Below are 21,681 nucleotides of genomic sequence, written 5' to 3' on the forward strand. Positions count from 1 at the left end.
CTCCAACTTTGTTCTTCCTCAGTATTGTGTTGATTATTTTGATCTTTCCCTCTTCATATAAACTTTAGAATCATTTTTCAATATCCACAAAATAACATGCTGGGATTTTGATTGGGATTGCACTGAATCTATAGATCAGGTTGGGGAAAACTTATATCATGACAATTTTGAATCTTCCTATCTGTGAATATGGAATATCTCTTTATTTATTTAGTTCTTCTTTGATTTTGTTCATCAGAGTTTTGTAGCTTTCCTCATATAAATCTTATATATATTTACTTAGATTTATACCTAAGTACTTTCTTTTATTGGGTGCTAACGTAAATGGTATTGTGTTTTAAATTTCAAATTTCACTTGCCCATTGCTGGTATATAGGAAAGTGACAGACTTGTACAACAACCTTATATCCTACAATCTTACTATAATCACCTATTAGTTCCAGAGATTTTTGTGTTGATTTATTTGGATTTTTCTACATAGATAATCATGTCATCTACAAAGGCAGTTTTATTTCTTCCTTCCCAATCAGTATAACTTTTATTTCATTTTCTTGCCTTATTGAGTTAGCTTGGACTTCCAGTATGATGTTGAAAAGGAGTGGTGAGAGGAAACATCCTTGACTTGTTCCTGATTTTAGTGGGAAAGCTTCTAGTTTCTCACCATAAGTATGGTGTTTGCTGTAAGTTTTTTGTAGATTTTTTCATCAAATAGAGGAAGTTCTCCTCAATTCCTAGTTTACTGAGAGTTGTTATATGAATGGGTGTTGAATTTTGCGAAATTATTTTTCTTCATCTATTGATATAATCATGGGGTTTTTCTTTTTTAGCTTGTTCATGTGATGGTTATATTAATTTATTTTCAAATCTTGAACCAGCCTTATATACCCAGGATAAATCTCACTTGATAATGAGGTATAATTCTTTTTATACATGGTTGGATTTGATTTGCTAGTAATTTGTTGAAGATTTTTGCATCTGTGTTTATGAGATATATTGGTCTGTAGTTTTGTTTTTTGGTAATGTTTTTTTATCTGGTTTTGTTAGTGCTGGACTCATAGGGTGAGTTAGAAAGTATTTGCTCTGCTTCTATCCTCTGAAAGTGATTGTAGAGAATTGGTATAATTTCTTCCTTAAATGTTTGGTTGAACTTACCAGTGAACTCTTCTCTGCCTGGTGCCTTCTGTTTTGGAAGGTTATTAACTATTGATTCAATAGATATAGGCCTATTCAGATTGTCTATTTCTTCTTTTATGAGTTTTGGCAAATTGTGTCTTTCACAGAGTTGGTCCATTTCACCCAGATTATCAAATTTCTGGGCATAGAGTTCATAGTATTCCTTTCTTATCCTTTCAATGTCCATAGGATCTGTAGTGATGTCCCTTCTTTAATTTCTGATATTAGTAATTTGTGTTCCCTCTCTTTTTTTCTTAGTCTGGCTATAGACTTATTGATTTAATTGATCTTTTCAAAGAATCAGCTTTTGATTTCATTGATTATTTAATTTTCTTTTTTCAATTTCATTGATTTCTGCCCTAATTTTTACTATTCTTTTTTTTCTTCTACTTACTTTGGCCTTCTTTTCCTAGTCTGTTAAGGTGGAAACTTAGATTATTGATTTTAGATTTTTCTTCTTTCCTAATATATGCATTTGATGCTATAATCTTCCCTCAAACCACTGCTTTGGCTTATCTTACACATTTTAATAAGTTGTGTTTTAATTTTCATCAGGTAAAAATATTAAAATTCTTTTTGAGATTTCTTCTTTGACCCATGTATTATTTAGAAGTGTTTTGTTTAATCTCCACATGTTTTGGAATTTTCTAGTTATCTTTCTGTTATTGATTTCTTTTAATTCCATTGTTGTCTGCGAGCAGAAGTTGTATGATTTCTACTCCTTTTAATTTGTTAAGGTGGGTTTTATGGCCCAAAATGTGGTCAAATTCTTTCTGTTTTATGGCCCAATAATATTCCATTGTATAGATATACAACATTTTGTTTATCTACTCATGAGTTGGTGGACATTGGGGTTGTTTTCATTTTTTGTTAATTCCATTGTACACTGAACATACAATTCAGTGGTATTTTGTATGCTCACAATGTTGTGCAGCCATCACCTCTATCTAACTCCAAAACATTTCATCAACTCAAAGGAGATCTTGAATCCATTAAGCAGCCACTCCTCATGTCCCTGCTCTCAACCCCTGGCAACCACTAATCTGCTTTCTGTCTCCATGAATATAGCTATTTTGGATACTTCATTTAAATGGAATCATACAATATGTGATCTTTTGTATCTGACTTCTTTTACTTTTCATAATGTTTTCAATGTTCATCCATGTTGATAGCATTCCTTTTTAGGGCTGAATACTGTTGTGTTGCATGGATATACTATGTTGTGTTTATCCATTCATCTACTGATGGACGTTTGAGTTGTTTCCACTTTTGCTGTGTGAATAGTGCTGCTATGTATTTGTACTCATTGTACACATTGTGTACAAACATTTGTTCGAATACCTGTTTTCAATTCTTTTGGAGAATTATTTTCAATTCTAGGAGCAGAACTGCTGGGTTATATGGTATCATTGTGAGGAACTGCCAAGCTGTTTCCCAAAGTGGCTGAACCATTTTACATCCCCACCAGCAACATATGAGAGTTCTAATTTCTCCACATTCTCACCAGTGCTTGTTTTCCTTTCCTTTCCTTTCCTTTCCTTTCCTTTCCTTTCCTTTCCTTTCCTTTCCTCTCTCTCTCTTTCTGTCTTTTAAATTATAGCCATTCTAGTGGATATGAAAGAGTATCTCATTGTGGTTTTGATTTGGATTTTTCAAATGACTAATGATGTTGAGCATCTTTTCATGTGCTTCTTGGCCATTGTATATCTTCTTTGAAAAAATGTCTGTTCAAGCATTTTGACCATTTTTAAATTGGGTTATTTTGTCTTTCTGTTGCTGAATTGCAAGAGTTTTTTTTATATGTCCTGGATTCTAGATGCTTATCAGATAAATGATTTACAAACATTTTCTCCCATTATTCATTATTTGCTGTCATTCCATTTTCCTTTTTTTTTTTTTTCTTTCTTAGACAGGGTCTTACTCTGTCACCCAGGCTGGAGTGCAGTGGTGCAATCTTGGCTCACTGCCACCTCCACCTCCCCAGCTCAAGCAGTCCTCCCACCTCAGCCTCCCCAGTAGCTGGGACTACAGGTGCACACCACCATGCTCTGCTAATTTTTATATTTCTTGTAGAGATGAAGTTTCACTATGCTGCCCAGGCTGGTCTCGAACTCCTGAGCTCAAGTGATCCTCCTGCCTCAGCCTCTAAAAGTGTTGGAATTACAGGCATGAGCCACTGTGCCCAGCCTCATTTTATTTTCTTGATAGTGTCTTTTTTTTTTTTTTGAGACAAGGTCTCACTCTGTCACCCAGGCTGGAGTACAGTGACATGATTATAGCTCACTGTAACCTTGAACTCTTGGGCTCAAGCAATCCTCCTGACTCAGCCTCTCAAGCAGCTAGTACAACAGGTGTGTGCCACCACGTCTGGCTAACTTTTACATTTTTTTGTAGAGGTGGAGTCTTGCTGTGTTGCCCAGGCTGGATCTTGATAGTGTTTTGTTTTGTTTTTTTTAGATGGAGTTTCACTTTTGTTGCCCAGGCTGAAGTGCAATGTGCAATTGCGCGATCTCGGCTCACAGCAACCTCCATCTCCCAGGTTCAAGTGATTCTTCTGCCTCAGCCTCCCAAGTAGCTGTGATTACATTTATGCACCACCACGCCTAGCTAATTTTGCATTTTTAGTAGAGATGGGGTTTCACCATGTTGGCCAGGCTAGTCAGGTGATCCGCCTGCCTCAGCCTCCCAAAGTGCTAGGATTATAGGCGTGAGCCACTGTGCCTGGGTGCCTGGCCTTGATAGTGTTTTTTGATTAACTATCTACTTTTATTTTGATGAAATCCAAGTTACCCATCTATGTATATACTGAGCTGACCCTGAGACATGGCAAAATGTGTGAAGATGGTACTTGAGTGAGTGAAGTTTGGGCAATGTTGTTTCTAGTGAATTCTTTCTCCTTGGTGGTTTCCTCTGGCCTGTGGATATACTTTATTCAGCAAAAGATGCCAGGGCTGAGGGGATATGGCCTCTGGTCTGCCACCCAGAGGGTAAACTTGGCAAGACCCCAGCCAGGCTCCCCCTCCTCTGCTGTTCCTAAACATGCATTCATGGACAAGGGGTCTCTGGAGCAAAGGAGAGTGACTCCTTCCCTCTCCCGCAACCTTGCCCACTTACCTTGTAGCCAGCCACTCCCTCCTCTTTCTGTAACTGGGCATTGGTCCAGCTGCCAGGCCCAGGACCTCTCCCATTTAGCCAGATGTAGTTCCAAAAACAACTGCAGCAGTATTTGGATACATTTTCCAGCCTGAACTAGTGGTGTTCCTGTCCATAGCTGGGATCCAGGTTTGTTGCCTCTGGGTGGGGCTACAGCTCCTTACCTCCTGGAAGGTTGTGGAAGTGTGGTTTCCTTTTTCTCCTTTCTCTTGTGGAACATAAGCATCTTTCCAAGTCCTTCTGGCCAGATGATGATGGTGTGAGCCTGTCCGTCTCCCATCAGTGCTGAGGGGCCTCAGATGCTGCCTCTTACCTATAACCCAGATGCTCCCAGGTGTGTTTATTTCCTAGAGCTGCTGTGACACAGAGCCACAAACTGGGAGGCTCAGAACAACAGGCATTGTTCCTTGCACAGTTCTGGAGGCTGGAAGTCCAAAATCAAGGTGTTGGCAGGGCTGGTTCCTACGGGAGGCTCTGAGGAAGAATCTGTTCCAGGCGCTCTCCTGGCTCCTGGTGGTTGCTGGCAATCCTTGGAGCCCCTTGACTTGTAGATGCATCACTCCAGTCTCTGCCTTCATCTTCACATGGCGTTCTCCCTTTCCCTCTGTCTCTGTGTCTTCTTCTCCTCATCTTATTGTCATATTGGATTAAGGGCCTACCCTGCATCAGTATGGCCTCGTCTTAGCTAATTTCATCTGCAGTTACCCTATTTCCAAAGGTCACATTCTCAGGTTCTAAGAAGTACATGAATTTTGAGCAGGATAATGTATGGCCCAGTGCACCAGGCAATGCCAAGGGCATCACTAGGTAGGAGGCTGGAGATGACTCCATTTCTGTGAGCTCCTCCTTGGCTCCTCTGTGTCTTTGCTTCTAACAGCCTGTGCCTGCCACTCTCTCTCGAGGGCTCCCCTTGAGCTATTAGAGGGGCTTTGTGTGCACAAAATTCAGACACACACACACACACACGCACATGCACATGCACACACACATGCACACATGCACACACACACACATATACACACACACACAGAGCCAGAGTGCCTGGATATTCGTGACCCCTGGAGCTGTCTTACCATGGTGATGACTGACAGGTGGGCAGGGCACGGTGGCTCACACCTGTAATTCCAGCACTTTGGGAGGCCAAGGCAGGTGGACCACCTGAGGTTAGGAGTTCAAGACCAGCCTAACCAACATGGTGAAACCTTGTCTCTACTAAAAATAGAAAAAAATTAGTTGGGCATGGTGGCGCATGACTGTAACCCAGCTACTTGGGAGGCTGAGGCAGGAGAATCACTTCAACCTGGGAGGCGGAGGTTGCAATGAACCGAGATCACGCCATTGCACTCAAGCTTGGGCAACAAGAGTGAAACTCCATCTCAAAAAAAAAAAAAAAAAAAAAAAAAAGGAATGACTGACAGGTGCACATGCAGAAGCATAGAAGCCCAGATCCCTGGCCTGCAGTTGGGCACAAACTCTGAGGTGTAACTTATACTCCGGAGCCCCCCACAGGTCAGTTTCAACTGGCCTCACCCTCCATGTCTAGCTCCCCCTACTCTGACACTGGCTTGTCCTGGGAGTACTTCCTTAAGAAATCACTTTCATGTGAATTCTCTTCTCAAAGTCTGCTTCTGGGCAGCCCAAGCTGAAACAGATCCCCATACCTGGAGCCTGCTGCAGCCAGGACTGATATGCAGGAACCCAGCCCAGGGAGCCACAAAGGGATCCACCTCCCCGGATCCAGGGGTTCATGATTCATGGGCGATGGTGCTCTGTAAATGGGAAGGCCCTCTGTGAACACTGGGGTGTTTGCCACGCATTGTGCTCAATTGTCCCCTCTATGGGCGGGCCTTCCCCAACCACACCATCCAAGATATTCTAATCTTGTCCTTTCAGGCTGCTGATCAACTAGCTCAGGAGTCACTGTGGACATGTCACACTTCTTCCTCCATGAGATGGAGATGACCAAATCTATTCATAGTTCTGTGTGCCAACCTATGAACCAGACCTGAGCCCCTTACCCCTCTGACAGTCGGCTTCAGGAAATCGCCATGAGGCTACAGGTGTGTGTTGAGGGGTGGGTAGAGACACAACATAAGTGGGTGGCGTGGGGTCTGGCACACTTCTTCATGTAACCCACTTGTACCTGCTGGACCTGCCAGTCTCAATCCCAAATATCACTGTAGCATTTCTCTTTTTTTTATATTATGACAAATACTTATTTATTTATTTATTTATTTATTTATTTATTTATTTTTTAATTTTATTTTAAGTTCCAGGGTACATGTGCAGAATGTGCAGGTTTGTTACGTAGGTAAATGTGTGCCATGGTGGCTTGCTGCACCTATCAACCCATCATCTAAGCATTAAGCCCAGCATGCATTAGCTATTTATCCTGATGCTCTCCCTCCCCACGCACCTCCTGAAAGGCCCCAGTGTGTGTTGTTCCCCCACCGTGTCCTTGTGTTCTCATTGTTCAGCTCCCACTTATGAGTGAAAACACGTGGTGTTTGGTTTTCTGTTCCTGCATTAGTTTGCTGAGAATAATGGCTCCCAGTTCCATCCATGTCCCTGCAAAGGACATAATATCGTTCCTTTTTATGGTTGTATAGTATTCCATGGTGTATGTGTACCACATTTTCTTTATCCAGTCTATCATTGATGGGTATTTGGATTGATTTCATGTCTTTGCTATTGTGAATAGTGCATTGTAGCATTTCCATTGTACAGTGGGTTACTGCTGTGCCTGCCTCACATTAGGATTTGGTGGATCTGGTCATAGCCAGCTCACAGAGGGAAACTCAGCCAGCATAGTTGCTTGATGTCTCATGGTCAGGCTCTGAGTCTCTGTAGGGTTCAGTAGCATGCCAGCAATTGTTTTTCAAAAGGAGAGTAGTTCTCCACTGCAGAAAATTTTAGAGGTCTGTACTGGGACTCTTCTACTGGGGTTTGTTAAAGGCTCCACCCAAGTTCTTTATCTAGCACCATAAATCTTCTCAGTCTCATGGCTAGCAGAGCAGCTCACACTGCAGCTTGGACCTATGCAGCGTTCTCTTTTGCTTTGTCTCAGAACTGAAAGCTTTCTGAATTGCCTAATAAATAGGTCAGAGTAGCATTCCCAAGTGTGGTATATGCTGCTTTGAAATTCAAGGAGAACAAAGAAGGTGGGCATAAAACAACAGAAGGACAGTTTCTCGCAGCTGGGGAGATCAGAAGTCTGAAACCAAGATGTTGGCAGGGCTGACACGGGCAATACACGAGGCCCGTGTATTGCCTCTTCCTGCTTCTCTTGGCTCCAGACATTCCTTGGCTTGTGGCTGCATCACTCCAATCTGCGTCTGTGGTCACATGGCCTCCTCCTCTTCCCTATGTGCCTCTGTTCTGTATGTCTCTTATAAGGACATTTGCCATTACATTTAGGACCTGCCTGCATCATCCAAGATTACCTCCCCATCTTGAGATCCTTAACTGAATTACATCTGCAAAGATCTGTTTTCCAAATAAGGTAATATCCCCATAGGTTCTGGAAATTAGGACATGGACATATCTTCGTGGTGGGGTGGGGGGGTGCTTTTTCATCCTACTGTATGGTAGAGGTGCAAATGCAGCAACTTGTCTTTTTTTCTGAGAGGGGATGGCTTGGCATGCCTCAGATCACAGGTTCCTTAAGATCTTCATCAATACGGGGGACCCTGAATTTTCAGAGGCTTTATCTTCCACTCTCTGGTGTGCATACATTTTTGTTTTGTTTTGTTTTGAGATGGAGTCTCACTCTGTCACCCAGGCTGGAGTGCAGTGGCACGATCTTGGCTCACTGAAACCTCCAACTCCTGGGTTCAAACCATTCTCCTGCCTCAGCCTCCCAAGTAGCTGGGATGACAGGTGCCCGCCACCATGCATGGCTAATTTTTGTATTTTTAGTAGAGACAGGGTTTCACCATGTTGACCAGGCTGGCCTCGAACGCCTCACCTCAGGTGATCCACCCACCTCAGCCTCCCAAAGTGCTGGGATTACAAGCGTAAGCCACTGTGCCCAGCCATATATTTTATTAAAGCATCTTGGGTTCTTGCCATTTTTCCTCCTTAGGTTTAGAGCAGCAGGAGCATGGGAGCAACTGTCCAGTGAAGGGGGTCTGTTGAGAGGCTCACCCACAGCATCCACTGCAGTGTCCTTGATCATCTTGACACCCCACGCTACCACCCAGGTCCGTCATGTTAACATTGTGTGAGCATTGGCTGCAAACTGCTCACATCTGCCCCCTTCTCTGGAGAATTGCTCTCTGCCAAACAGTAGACATCTCACCGTGGAGGTTATGCTCCTTTGGGGGTGTGGCAAGTCTTGCCAACTGACTTACCTGAGGACACAAAAAGTCTGCTATCTGGAGGGGACAAGTCAGTGCTGTAATTAATGCTCCAAAGGCCCTCATGAGACCAGAATGAGGCTGGCCTCCAGCCCAGGGATGTCATAGATTAACTTTCTTTCTCTGCTGTGTCCTGCTTCCCTCTTTCCACTTCCCCTGAAAGTCCTCCCCACAAAAATCCCCACCTCTTGATCTGCTTCTAGGGAAACCTGACCTAAGAGATTCCTTGGGTGTATTAGTCTATTCTCACGCTGCTAATAAAGGCATACTCGAGACTGGGTAATTTATAAAGGAAAGAGGTTTAATTGACTCACAGTTCCCATGGCAGGGGAGGCCTCACAATCATGGTAGAAGAGCAAGGAATGTCTTACATGGTGGCAGGCAAGAGAGGATGAGAGCTAAGTTAAAGGGGAAACTCCTTATAAAATCTCGTGAGATTTATTCAATATCACAAGAACAGTATGAGGGAAACCACCTCCATGATTCAATTAGCTCCCACTGGGTCCCTCCCACAACGTATGGGAATTATGGGAGCTACAATTCAAGATGAGATTTGGGTGAGGATACAGCCAAAACATATCATTCCCTCCCTAGCCCCTCCCAAATCTTATGTCATCACATTTCAAAATCAATCATGCCATTCCAACAGTCCCTCAAAGTCTTAACTCATTTCAGCATGAACTCAAAAGTTCACAGTCCAAAGTCTCATCTGAAACAAGGTAAATCCCTTCTGCCTATGCACCTGTAAAATCAAAAGCAAGTTAGTTACTTCCTGGATAAAATGGGGGTACAGGGATTGGGTAAATACAGCTGTTCCAAATGGGAGAAATTGGCCAAAACAAAGGGACTACAGGCCCCATGCAAGTCCAAAATCCAGTGGGGCAGTCAAATATTAAAGTTCCAAAATGATCTCCTTTGACTCCATGTCTCACATCCAGGTCACACTGATGCAAGAGGTGGGTTCCCATGGTCTTGGGCAGCTCTGCCCCTGTGGCTTCATGGGGTAGAGCCTCCCTCCTGGCTAATTTCACAGGCTGGCGTTGAGTATCTATGGCTTTTCCAGATGCACAGTGCAACCTGTTGGTGGGTCTACCATTCTGAGGTCTGGAGGATGATGGCCCTTTCTCACAGCTCCACTAGGCAGCACCCCAGTGGGGACTCTATGTGGGGGCTTCAACCCCACATTTCTTTTCTGCACTGCCCTAGCAGAGGTTCTCCATGAGGGCCTCACCCCTGCAGCAAACTTCTGCCTAGACATCCAGTTACATCCTCTGAAATCTAAGCAGAGGTTCCCAAACCTCAATTCTTGACTTCTGTGCACCCACAGGCACAATACCACATGGAAGCTGCCAAGGCTTGGGGCTTCCACCTCTGAAGCCACAGCCTGAGCTGTACCTTGGCCCCTTTTAGATATGACTAGAGCAACTGGGATGCAGGGCACCAAGTCCCTAGGCTGCACAGAGCAGTGGGGCTCTGGACCCCAGCCCATGAAGCCATTTTGTCCTTCTAAGCCTCTGGGCCTGTGATGGGAGGGGCTGCCACAAAGTCTCTGTTATGCCCTGGAGACATTTTCCCCATTGTCTTGGCGATTAACATTTGGCTCCTCATTACTTATGCAAATTTCTGCAGCAGGCTTGAATTTCTCCTCAGAATATGGATTTTTCTTATCTATTGCATCATCAGGCTGCAACTTTTCCAAACTTTTATGCTCTGCTTCCCCATTAAACATAAGTTCCAATTCCAAACCATATCTTTGTGAATGAATAAAACTGAATGCTTTTAACAGTACCCAAGTCACCTCTTGAACACTTTGCTGCCTAGAAATTTCTCCCACCAGATGCCCTAAATCATCTCTCTCAAGTTCAAAATGCCACCAGTCTCTTTGGTAAAACATAGCAACAGTCACCTTTGCTCTTCCTTTGTCTTCTGCCATGACTGTGAGGCCTCCCCAGCCATGTGGAACAGAGAGTCAATTAAATGATACCATGATGGAGGATGGAGTGAGGGAGTCCTGAGGCTGGACCATGAAGGTGCTCTGCTGTCCCTGCCATGTAAACTGCTCTAGTGCCTCTCTGCTGTTGGATATCAGGAAGAAAGGATTTACCAAATTGGTAGCTGCATACCAAATTCCAGAGACAGTGTTGATCTGCTGTAGTCAAGATGCCACAACTGGTACAGTGGGTGAAACTGGACTATGCCTGGCTATGTTTATGTAGTCCACAGTCAGCTCCTCTGAGAGACCTTCCCTGACCATCTTATCTAATGATGCCTTCCAACTCCCAGTCTTCCTCCATCATATTCTCCTGTTTTATTTTTTTGTGTACTGATTACTGTCTGTAGCCATGTGATCTATTTATTCGTTTATGGCCTTTCTCCCCAATTAGGGTGTAGGCTCCAGGGGAATAAGGACATTGTGTGACTTGTTTGCAGCTGCATCCCAAGCACCCGCCACTGTAGTAGATGCCTAACCAATGTGTGTTGAATGAATAAAAGAGCAGGCCAATGTTCTTTTGCTCAAAGTAGAGGGGAAGAAATAGGGTTTTCTGTGGAGATTCCAAGGCAGAGGCCATTTCTGGGGGTCACTGGAGTGGGAGAAGGCAGGTCAAGGTGGGTTGTCTTCCAGGCAGTGCAAACCCCCTGGCCTCTGCCAGCTGCTCACTGGCCAGTCTGCTTGTTGGGTCTGGCACAGGCCTCAAGGAAACATAACATTTTTAATAAAACCTCAGAGTCAATAAAGGCGAATGGTCCTGGGTGCCTCTCCTGCCGGCCCCAGCTGTTGACTTTAGAAGTCAAGAGAGTGGGGCGTTGCCCAATTCTCATGTAGTACAGGGAGATATAAGCTGGAAGGGCCTAGCCCATTTTATATGAAAACAAAACAAAACAAAACAAAACTCACCAGGCCCTGGAAAGAGTCCACCACCAGCCAGAATCAAAGGTCCATTCAGAGCGACAGAGCTCCTCACATTCGCCGCTAATGAAAACCAAATTTCTCATCCCTCTGAGCATTTCCAGGGGCTACAAATGGAAGGGGCTGCAGAGTCTTTGGCCACCGCTCCCACCACCGAAGGGGCCCCACTGTGTTAAAATAGTTTTATGATAATATAGGCCTTGTATTTTCCTAATTTCAGGCGTCAGTGATTTAGGACGGAGTTGTTTTCATGGAAAAAGAAATAGAACCTGTTTGTGGCGGGGCAAGACTGATGCCTGGGCAGATATTCCCACTGTGGGCATATTTGGGTAGGGGGGTGAGCCTGCCATGAAGAGGCTCAGACCTAGCTCCGGGGAGGCCTCGTTCATGAAGTTCCCCGCCTTGGGCGGGGAAGAATGGGCTGGGGGTTTCCAGACAGATTCAGAGACAGTCACAGTGACTTCTGTTTTTTGATTTCATGCTTTGTGAAATCTTAGAATCACAACTCAGAAAGGTAGAGGCATCCCTCTCAGACGCAGAGAAAGGGCCTCTGTTTTTTTAAAAAGACATTTTCTCATTTCTTTTTCTTTTTTTCCTCCCCCTTGATCAATCTTTATAAGCAAGTATGTGTAGAAATGTCATATTTTTTTTTTCTTAAAGTCAACTTGATTCTTACTTTGAGCCTCCAATACTTTTAGTTGGTAGGAAACTTAATATTTTCAGCGACTGCTCTGCCTTCGTCAGGATCAGGTGGAATTCTGTCCTTGTTTCTCAGTTTTGTTTTGTTTTGTTTTCAGATGGAATCTCACTCTGTTGTCCAGGCTGGAGTGCAGTGGCACAAACTCAGCTCACTGCAACCTCTGCCTCCTGGATTCAAGTGATTCTCCTGCCTCAGCCTCTTGAGTAGCTGGGATTACAGGCATGTGCCACCATGCCTGGCTAATTTTTGTATTTTTAGTAGAGATGGGGTTTCACTATGTTGGCCAGGCTGGTCTCGAACTCCTGACCTCAGGTGATCCTCCTGCCTCAGCCTCCCAAAGTGCTGGGATTACAGGCAGGAGCTACCGCACCCAACCTGTTTCTCAGTTTTTTTTCATCTGTAAGATGGGGAGAATGATAATACATACCTCAATGGGCTGGGTTAAAAAATGGTGAAATATTTAGAATAGTGCCTGGCACAGAGTAAGTATTAACTATTATTATTATTATTTTTATTATTCCAGAGATAAAGAGAAGGCATCAAACCTAGTATGAGGGTATCAGGGAAGGCTACCTGGAAGAGGTGGTGTTTCAGCTAATGACAGATGAGGTAGTCCTTGCATGATTTTGAACTCCTCTGCTTGGACATTTATGTCTAGAATTTGATATGCTATACCCTGAACAAGTGTGCTAATTTTAGAAAACTGTAAAGAAGAAAACAGAAAACAGCCATAATCCCATCTTTGCATTGATTTCATTCTGGATTAATTTTATCTCTATTTTTAACTATATTAATTGATAACCTGTATACGCAGTGTGTGTCTGGCTAGAAAAATGTTTATTTCTAAAAAGTATTTATATATTTATAGGAAATAAAGATCTGAATGGGGGAGAAAAGCCTAAAAATATTAACAGTGGTTATCTTTGGAGGGGGGGATTATGGCTCATTTTTCTCGTGTGTTTGTTGGTAATCCGGACTGTCTACTTTCCCTCTCATGATTATATATTAGTTTGTGTCATTTAAAAATGTCATTTAGTCTGGGCATGGTGGCTCATCCTGTAATCCCGACACTTTGGGAGGCCAAGGTGGAAGGTTTGCTTGAGGCCAAGAGTTTGAGGCCAGCCTGGGAAACGTAACGAGGCCCTGCCTCTAAAAAAAAAATTAGCCAGGTGTGGTGGTGCACACCTGTAGTTCTAGCTCCTTGAGAGGCCAAGGCAGGAGGGAGGATCACTTGAGCCCAGGAGTTGGAGGCTGCAATGCACTCCAGTCTGGGTGACAGAGTGAGACCCTGTCTAAAAATAAAAACTAAAAATATTACTTAAAATGTAATATATAGAACTCAGGAACCGCAGATGGAGAGTCTCATAATCTTTATATTTTCAGACCATGAAGGAGAGTGGGGTAGCTTGGCCGGACTCTGAGCGTCCTGGACCCACAAGTCTGAGAGGAGAGGCTGCATGTGGCCTCTGGTATGGTCACATGGTTCTATAAGGAAACTGAGGCAGGACATAAGGCTTCACTTGTGAAGTGGTGGAGAGGGAGGGGGCAATTGCCAACTGGGTGATAATAAAGACTATTGTTAAGACCTTGCCCCCAGTGGCACATGAAATGCCACTAACCCTGAGAGATTGAGAGACATTCAAACCTGAGGTTTGGGGCATGGTGCCCTTCCTGTGACTTTGGTGCTAATGATGTCTAAGATACCTCTTAGCTCCTCCCTCTGTCATTCTGCACAGGCTTCTCCTTTGCCTGGACTATTTTAGTAGCCTGTGAACAGGTCTCTGGACCCTCATCCCCAGTCCGCACCATGATGGTGCTCCCATCCAACACATACATCTCCGCTTGGCTCCCCCGTGCCACTGACCCCTGACATGGATCCTCTCCCACCTCCCATCACCATTGCGCCACTTGCCCCACCATCCTCCCAGCTCAGCGACACCTGGTTCTCCAGGCCTTTGCACATGGGATTCCCTCCTGCCACATCTCTGCTTGATCCATTCCTACTCATCTTTCCATCTGATCTCGGGGGAGAGACATTTTCTCTGAGGAGCTTGGCTTGTTTGCCCTGATCCACACTGGGCTGGCACAACCTGCTTTCCTGTCTGTCTGCCCTGTGAGATCCCTGAGGCCATGGCTGTGACTTGTTCACCTTGTTCTTGGTGTCTGGCACCTGAGGGTGGGGTGGGGCTCTGTGTCTGGTGAATGAGTGAATGAATTCTGGCCAAGGCCTCAAAGACACCCAGCCCAATGAGCTGAGTGGGGTGGTGTGGCCCAAATGGTGTGTTTGGACACCAGAGAGCCCACATTGCTGCCAGCCGTCAGGGTGGGCACAAAGGAGGGTAGTCCAGGCCGGCTCCAGGGCTGCCGCACTCCCCTTCCCATGATAGGTCCCCTGGGCCAGGCCCAGGGCAGGCCCTTTCTGTGGGTGAATATAAATATATAAAACACACAGCGCACTCTTAGCTGCAAAACTAAAAATAGGAAGCGCGGGATCCGGCTCCCCAGGCTTCCCCAGCCACTGGACCACACAGGTGTGGCTGCGGATGTCGGGGCGATGTGGCCCCTCACCCCTCCCAGCTCTGGAGCCCTCATGGGGAGGAATGAGGGGCATTTTGGATTTCTGCCAGGAACAGTTCATTCTTTCACTCTGGCCTCCCTCCTGCCCCCGTCCCATTTGACAGCTCATTTCATTTACGACCCCAAAATGAACCGACCCACTGAGGTGTATTCTCTACTCACGTGGCCAGGCTGGGTTGTTTGGTGCAGCTGAGAGCTGCCCTCTGGGCCATGCTGGGGGGCTGCATTTATGCGGGGGTGCAGTCTGGAGCAGAGGAGAGGCCGGGGCTGAGGAGGGAGGCAGGGCTGGGTCTGCATCCAGCCCTGCCCTCCCCTACCCACGGCACTGGCCCCACCCCGCGCCATCTCCTCAAGCCCTCACCAGGCCCTAACGTGGGAATGTGTCATCTCTGGCCTGTAGCCTCACTGCCAGGACATCCATTGCTCAGTGTAAAAGCCAAAGCCATCCCCATGGCCACAGCCCAACAGTGGCAGGGCTGCTCCTAGGGGCCGGCAAGGCGGGTCCATCTGGGCCACTTCACCCCACAGGAGGCCACTTCTGGGAGCCCCCAGGCCACAGCCGGCTCTCTGGGTCCATCATTGGGCCCATCTGGGCCAACCTCAAGCTGTGGGGGCTGAAGAAACTGGAGGGACTCAAAGTCCAGCCCAGATCAACAGGACTCCTAGAGCCTCCAAAGCGGAATTCTGGAGTCCAGGGGCTCCCAGGCTGTGGAACTAAATGGCTTCCTCAATCTGAACTGGCTTCTACATGACCTAAGCTCTTGCTGGTGGCTCAGGGGACATGGGTGGGGCTGGGCCCAGGGTCCAGGAGGCCAGGGTTGTAAAACTATGAAAGTCAACCCTGCCTTCAAGCCAGGTACACCCTGTCCCAAAGCAGACGATTATGGGGTGTGGGGTCCTACTCCACACCTGGCACACGGCCGGTGCTCATTCAGCGTATGACCAAAAAGGGAGACTCAGAGAGGGACAGGGACCTCCCACTGCCACACGGCTCGGGAAGGGAAAACCTTCCCCACATCAAGACCTTTAGCTGGCCCTTTCGGGAATGAGTCACCTGAGGTTGGGAAGTTCTTCTTAATACCTTACCTGAATTCTTGCTGTAACCAAGGCAGCCTCTCCTCACCCTTGTCCAAAGGGGATGATGTCCACTCTCTCCACCTGCTGCCCAGGGATGCCGCCCCCTATTGCCACCTGCAGGCTGCTGTGGCTACTGCAGCACTTCCTCCCGCAGCCCTGGGACCTCAGGCAAGCTGAGACTTCTCGGGACCTTGAGTTTCCCCTTGGCAAGCTGGGTGTGCTGGTTCGTGCCTGCTAGGGTGCAGGTGATGGAGATTTGAGTCAGGAACTCTGGAGGGCACAGCTCCTCTCCGATCTGCTGTGGCACCAAAGTGTGCCTGGTGAGGAGTGCTACCATCCCCTACAAAGTGACCCCAAATAAATAGAAACAGTTTTGGCCATGTAGATGCCGTTTCAGGACCAACCCTGGCAGAGGCTGCCCAGAGCAGACCAACAGAGAAGTTCTGTAGCCACGGCTGAGGTCCTGTCCAGAGATGGACCTGCTGTCTTTTGGGTAAAAGGGGATGCCGGGCTAGGGAAATGGAAGCTTCTTGTTGGGAGCTGAGTTTCAGGCAGACCAACCAAACTGAGCAGGGCAAAGCTTTGGGAGTGGTTTTTGAAGTCGGTGGGCATCACTCAAAAATAAGGTCTGTTTTGTAAAAATTTCCCTTCACAAATCCCAACTGGCCAGGCTCTGGGCTGTGTGTTGGTACAAATCCCAAGTGGACCAGGCCTCCTTGCTGGCAAGGTGGGAGGGGGGCTGTCAAGCCAGGTCCCCACACCATCACACCCATGCTACCATTGTTGGGCTGTGGTCCCAGTTCAGCCATGGACAACCCCAGGGAGACATGGACCTTGATGACACTCCTTCTTTGCACCGCAGTTGTCTCATCTGCAAAATGGGGGCACTGAAGTTGCCGCTTACTCCCAATCCCCACTGCTGCTAGCTTGCCACAGATCTTGAAACACGAGCCTCAGAGGGGGGTTCTCACCAAGGCACTTGGACTCTCCCTCTGCCTCTGCCCCCTCCCGAAATGTGAATCTGAGGAACAGGCATAGGAATTCCTCCCAACACGGCTGGGAAGACTCACAGCCCGCTCATGATTGGTGGAAGGGTTGTGGCACTTTGAAGACCTATTTGATGCTCTCCTGGGGTCCCAGCCATACAGGAGCAGGCCTCACCGGCTGTCCTGTGGCCAGGGTGGTCTCTGCGGCCATTCCTGAAGAAGTTGGAAGCAAGGAGATGAAGGTGCTGGGTGTCTCTGTTCCTGTTCCTCCTGGGCAACAGCAGGAGGTCTCCATCCTCTCCCCCACCCCACCCCACCTCCATGCATAGCCCTAGAAACCGGGCACTGGACTCCTTCCACACATCTCAGAGTTATATTATTGTAACAAATCAGTCAAAATTCCATTTTACAGTTAAATAGTACAGAAGACAGTTTACTGTACAAGCAAGTTGTGCGTTAAAAACAAACACCAAGCAAACGATAGTGCAAAGCAGTTTCCACCCAGCTCCATCCTCTCGCCAGCTCTGGGATGGTTTTACATCAGATGAGTGCAGCAGGTGTCACACCTCAGCATGACAATATGTCACAAAAGATTGGTACCCACTACTGACAGGCTCACAGTAACACTATATCAAAACGTCTTCCTTTCCTCGTGCTTCCTACATCAGTGTGTTTGCCTAGTACAACTTTAACGCAGCCTTGTAAATAAGGACCTACTTTTACCAGCCCAGGCTGTCTGTACCCACTTTGGGCCTTACAGACTCAGTACGGCTGCCGTCACTTTTTGTCAGGGGATGGGGGATGGGGTAGGAAGAGCAATTTATTTACTATCCCTGCCTCTCCAGGATCAGGAAGGGTTAGTAATCTGGGATGAGACTACAAAGTGCTGGGCACTGGGAACCCAAAGGTGCCTCCCACGCTGACCTGGGACCAGCTATAACCAGAGAACAGGAGGGAAGAAACTACAAGGACAATGGATTCATAGCTGCTTCCTAAGAAGGCATGGAGAGGCCCCTTGGGTGCAGGGAGTCAGCAACTATTTTGAGGAGATGGAGACTGTTTTTCCAGTGAGGACAGGCCAAGAGAAACCGCAGCAGGAGGGAATGGAATAGGATCACCAGAAGGACTGCCTAACCTGCCAGTGTGTCTCTGGTGTATGGTTCTGGCCGTTGTGACAGGTTGGGTGGGGACAGTGCTCTCACAGAGACAACCAATGAAGAGCATTTTGTAGGGCAGATTTCTGCATCCACAGAGGCCGAGGCAGAAAGTTAAAATACCGCATGCTGCTAGCCTTTATGAGTTCCCTTACGCCTTTTCTAAGCCTTTCTAGGGCCAGAGAACTCTGATGTGAGAATCCATGCAGCCTGGCCCTTGGGCAAGCGCCCACTTTCCCATTTTGCAAAATTCAGGGGCAAGACTTCACCTCGGAACGCAGTGCAGCTGAGCTGCGGCTGGAGAGCCCTTTACAGTGCTTCTGTCCTGCCACGCACAGCCAGTACTCCCCACCTCTCACATCCTGCCCACCTCCGCCCAGCCTCCTGGACAGATGTCCTAGAGCCACAGAGGAGAGATGCCCAGCGTCTCATCAGCGTTTCCCTCGTCCTCCCAGGGGAGCCTGTGGTGCAGGCTGGTGGGATGCTGCCTGATGGGGAGTGTAGCCCCTTGAGAAAGTATTGAGACCCTAATAACCCCACACCCTCAGGAGGCAGCTGGGGGTCCGCGGGGGGGAGAGGGGGCGGGGATGTTGCTTATAATCACAGAGCTATCATAATCACGGAACTATACCTGTAAGAGACCTTGTGTTTGAAAACGTTAGATTAAGCTTCTTTTTCTAAAATCAGTTTTAAAAACTGTTTTGTTTTTTTTTTGTTTTTTTGTTTTTTTTTTTTTTTTGCTCAGGACTATTTGCTTTCAGAGCACAAAACAGGTTACAGACAGGTGTGTGCCAGGAGTCGCAAGATTTGGCTGGATCCTCCCAGGAGGCTTGGGGGATGGGGCACAGCTTGGCTGGACCCAGGGGGGACAGGGACATTGATGTCTGACCCAAAATGATCCCTCACCTCAATGCCTTCTGCTAGGACCTATCTATCTGGCCCTCCTGTTCTCTCCACAAATGGAATTATGAGACCACCTAGGGGAAAGGGGACCTCCTATCCCCCCTCCCCCGCCCTGCCAAGAGAACAGAGAGTGGATGCGTTGAGCTGGTAAAGTGCATGGAGGAGCCGGTCTGTAGGTGCTTTCCTGGGTTTAAGAACCTGATGCCATAGACTCATCTTCTCTGGGGCCTGGGACCCGTGCGGCTGGGGGAAAGCCAACAGTTAGGAACGGAGGGGAAGCTGGGCTGGGGGGACTGGCTTGGATGTGTTCTCAAACCATCTCTGCCAGCAGCGTGCTGGGTCCTGCCCCATCTGTACAATGAGGGGAACCCCGCTCGAGGGTGGTGGGGGTGGGGGACACTTTCCAGTTCTGACTCAAATCTGTGTAAATGCAGAGGGGGCTGGACCCAGGGGATGCAGGGGCTCCAACGAAGGTGCAGGGGTCGGGAGGTTTCCCAGGGCCTGAGGCTTATCCTGTGGGCCAATGCTGCCTCTCTCTGGAAGAGAGATGGCCTCTGTCCCAGGAGACATGGGTCCCATGCAGCACTGGGCATAGCTGGAGACAGTGAGGTCCTTCCGGGGGGGTGGCAGGAGGCTGATTCCCCACAGAAGTATGGGATGAGACGGCCAGGATCTGGGCCGGGGGCAGTATCCCGGGCCGGGGTGGGGGTGGTAACCTATGCCTCTGTACAAGGATGTGGCTGCACAGATGCAGCCAGAGGCTCCCACCAGCTGGGACCACCCTGGGACCGAGACCACCCTGGAGCGCAGGTCCCATTCCCGCCCGGAGCCTCGGAGCCGGCCCATCACTGGTCTTGAAGGTTGTTAGGGTCCCCGCCTCCAGCGGGAGGAGTCCACCAGGGCGGTCAGTAGGGCCGCCACACGGCCTCATCCATGCGGCCTGGCGTGCTCAGGGCCGTGGGTGAGTTGCTGTGGCTGCCGTCGGCCTCCACGCCATCACTCTGGCCGCCCAGGCTGGGGTTCATGAGGTTGCCGGCGGCGACAGAGGCAGCGCTGCTGGTGCAAGAGGCCAGCATGCGGGTAGGTGAGCGGTCGCCCCCACTGCTGCTGCCGGCCACCATGGAGAACTGGTAGGAGCCAGAGGATGTCCCGTAGTAGAGGTGGTAGGGGGACGGGTTGGCCTGGAAGGGCCCGCTCTGGTTCTGCGGGGCCCCCGGGTAGGGTGGCGGGAGGTAGGTATGGTGGAAGCGGCTGGTGGCCGGCATGCCCGCCACGCTGAGGCTGCTGATGCTCGTGCCCGAGGGCGTGGCGCTGTAGGGGAAGGCAGCTGACATGGCCCCGGGATAATGCATCCTGGGGTCTGGGAAGCGGCTCTCCGTGAGGGTTGGCAGCGTGGGGAAGGAGCGGTCAAACTGGCGGGGGTCGGAGAATGGGTTCAGTTCCGAGGTGCCTGGAGGACAGCAGGGAAGAGGTCAGTTCCAGCTCGAGACAACCCCAGGAGGGCTTCCTGAAGAATGACCTTGGGCTCTGGTTCCCAAGGCCCATCTGGGGGACCCCTAGTTCTAGACCTGGCTCTCCTCTTCCTGCCCTAGGCTGCCCGGGGCCTCCCCCGCCAGGACTCCGAACACAGACCTGCCGGGAAGCTGGTTGGAGCGTGCCCCGGGCCAAGAGGGGCCATGGGAGCCCCCCCACAGCAGCAACAGAACAGAGGAGGGGGTCTATTCTTCTTTTTAAATCCTCCTTCCCAGCCTCGCAGAGGAGAGGCCTAGGATGCGGTGGTGGGGCTGAGGGCAGAGTCAGCTCAGGCCTCCCAGCAGCCCTGCCCAGGCAGGTTCCTCTCCCCACCGGCCCATGTTAACAGCTGGGAAGGCCGTGGATGTGTAAAGGGCTCCAATGACCGTGTGAGACTGGGAGTTGGAACCCGCTTTTGAAGACAAGAAAATGGAGGCAGAGAGAGAGCAAGACTGAGTCTCTGTGGCAGAGAAAGGACTGGTTCTCATCACAAGGCCTCTGCTGGGGACACACGTGCCTCTCCTGCCCAGGTGCAGCACGCGGAGGTTCTGTGCGCTCACACCTGGGTTGTGGGCACTGAGTTCACAGGAGCTCTGGCCTCCACCTCACCCTGGGCCTGTGTCTCTGGAGCCGACTCGTGGCCACACAGTGACTGGATGCCACCCTAACCTGCCTTGGCAGCAAAGTGAGACAGCAGTCAGACAAACTTGGGGACCCAGACCCCAACCTGGTCACAGTGTCCAGCCCAGACTCTGCCCCTGCTCCCCCAGGAATGTGGCTTCTCAATGGGCTCCAAGGCAAGGGTGTTCCATCCTCTGTCCCCAACTTTTGTCATCACAGACCCCCAAAACCTCAGCATTCAAAGGGGCTCAGGGATTGAGTCTAACACCCTTGATGGGGAAACTGAGGCCCAGACAGGGTGAGGCACTTCCCTCAGGGTCACACAGCACATTGGACCTGGCACACAATCCTAGGGCCTCTGGTCCTGAGCCCCAACACGTACTTGAGAGGGAGCTGTCCCGTCTTTGAGGCAGCACAGGATCAAGGCTTACTGTGTGGCTTCTGGAGCCGGACAGTTATCCTGGTTTGGACACTTACTAGCTTTGTGTCCTTGGGCAAGTCACTTAACCTCTCTGCGCATCAGTTTCCCCATATAAAACATGAGACGATAACAGTTCAT

General features: G+C 48.5%; 1 protein-coding gene across 6 annotated transcripts in view, besides 5 other annotated features; it reads right to left on the reverse strand.

The window, feature by feature from the left end:
- Positions 16,194–16,263: an enhancer, noted in NCBI's record as "active region_407". NCBI's record gives its function as "activates an Ori minimal core promoter by ATAC-STARR-seq in GM12878 lymphoblastoid cells {active_cell/tissue: GM12878}" and the evidence as "EXISTENCE:reporter gene assay evidence [ECO:0000049][PMID:35858748]".
- Positions 17,284–21,681, reverse strand: part of RUNX3 (RUNX family transcription factor 3) — a 65,628-nt gene continuing 61,230 nt past the window's right edge. For all 6 annotated transcript variants that reach the window (XM_005246024.5, XM_047433131.1, NM_001320672.1 and 3 more), the window contains one exon: positions 17,284–20,439. In XM_005246024.5, coding sequence (XP_005246081.1) covers positions 19,895–20,439 — 545 coding nt within the window. In that variant the 3' untranslated portion in view covers positions 17,284–19,894. The remainder of the gene's footprint in view (positions 20,440–21,681) is intronic.
- Positions 18,354–18,403: an enhancer, noted in NCBI's record as "active region_408". NCBI's record gives its function as "activates an Ori minimal core promoter by ATAC-STARR-seq in GM12878 lymphoblastoid cells {active_cell/tissue: GM12878}" and the evidence as "EXISTENCE:reporter gene assay evidence [ECO:0000049][PMID:35858748]".
- Positions 19,171–19,620: an enhancer, noted in NCBI's record as "active region_409". NCBI's record gives its function as "activates an Ori minimal core promoter by ATAC-STARR-seq in GM12878 lymphoblastoid cells {active_cell/tissue: GM12878}" and the evidence as "EXISTENCE:reporter gene assay evidence [ECO:0000049][PMID:35858748]".
- Positions 19,951–20,020: an enhancer, noted in NCBI's record as "active region_410". NCBI's record gives its function as "activates an Ori minimal core promoter by ATAC-STARR-seq in GM12878 lymphoblastoid cells {active_cell/tissue: GM12878}" and the evidence as "EXISTENCE:reporter gene assay evidence [ECO:0000049][PMID:35858748]".
- Positions 20,101–20,170: an enhancer, noted in NCBI's record as "active region_411". NCBI's record gives its function as "activates an Ori minimal core promoter by ATAC-STARR-seq in GM12878 lymphoblastoid cells {active_cell/tissue: GM12878}" and the evidence as "EXISTENCE:reporter gene assay evidence [ECO:0000049][PMID:35858748]".

The sequence above is a fragment of the Homo sapiens genome, chromosome 1 (genome assembly GCF_000001405.40).
Source record: "Homo sapiens chromosome 1, GRCh38.p14 Primary Assembly".
Lineage (NCBI taxonomy): Eukaryota > Metazoa > Chordata > Mammalia > Primates > Hominidae > Homo > Homo sapiens.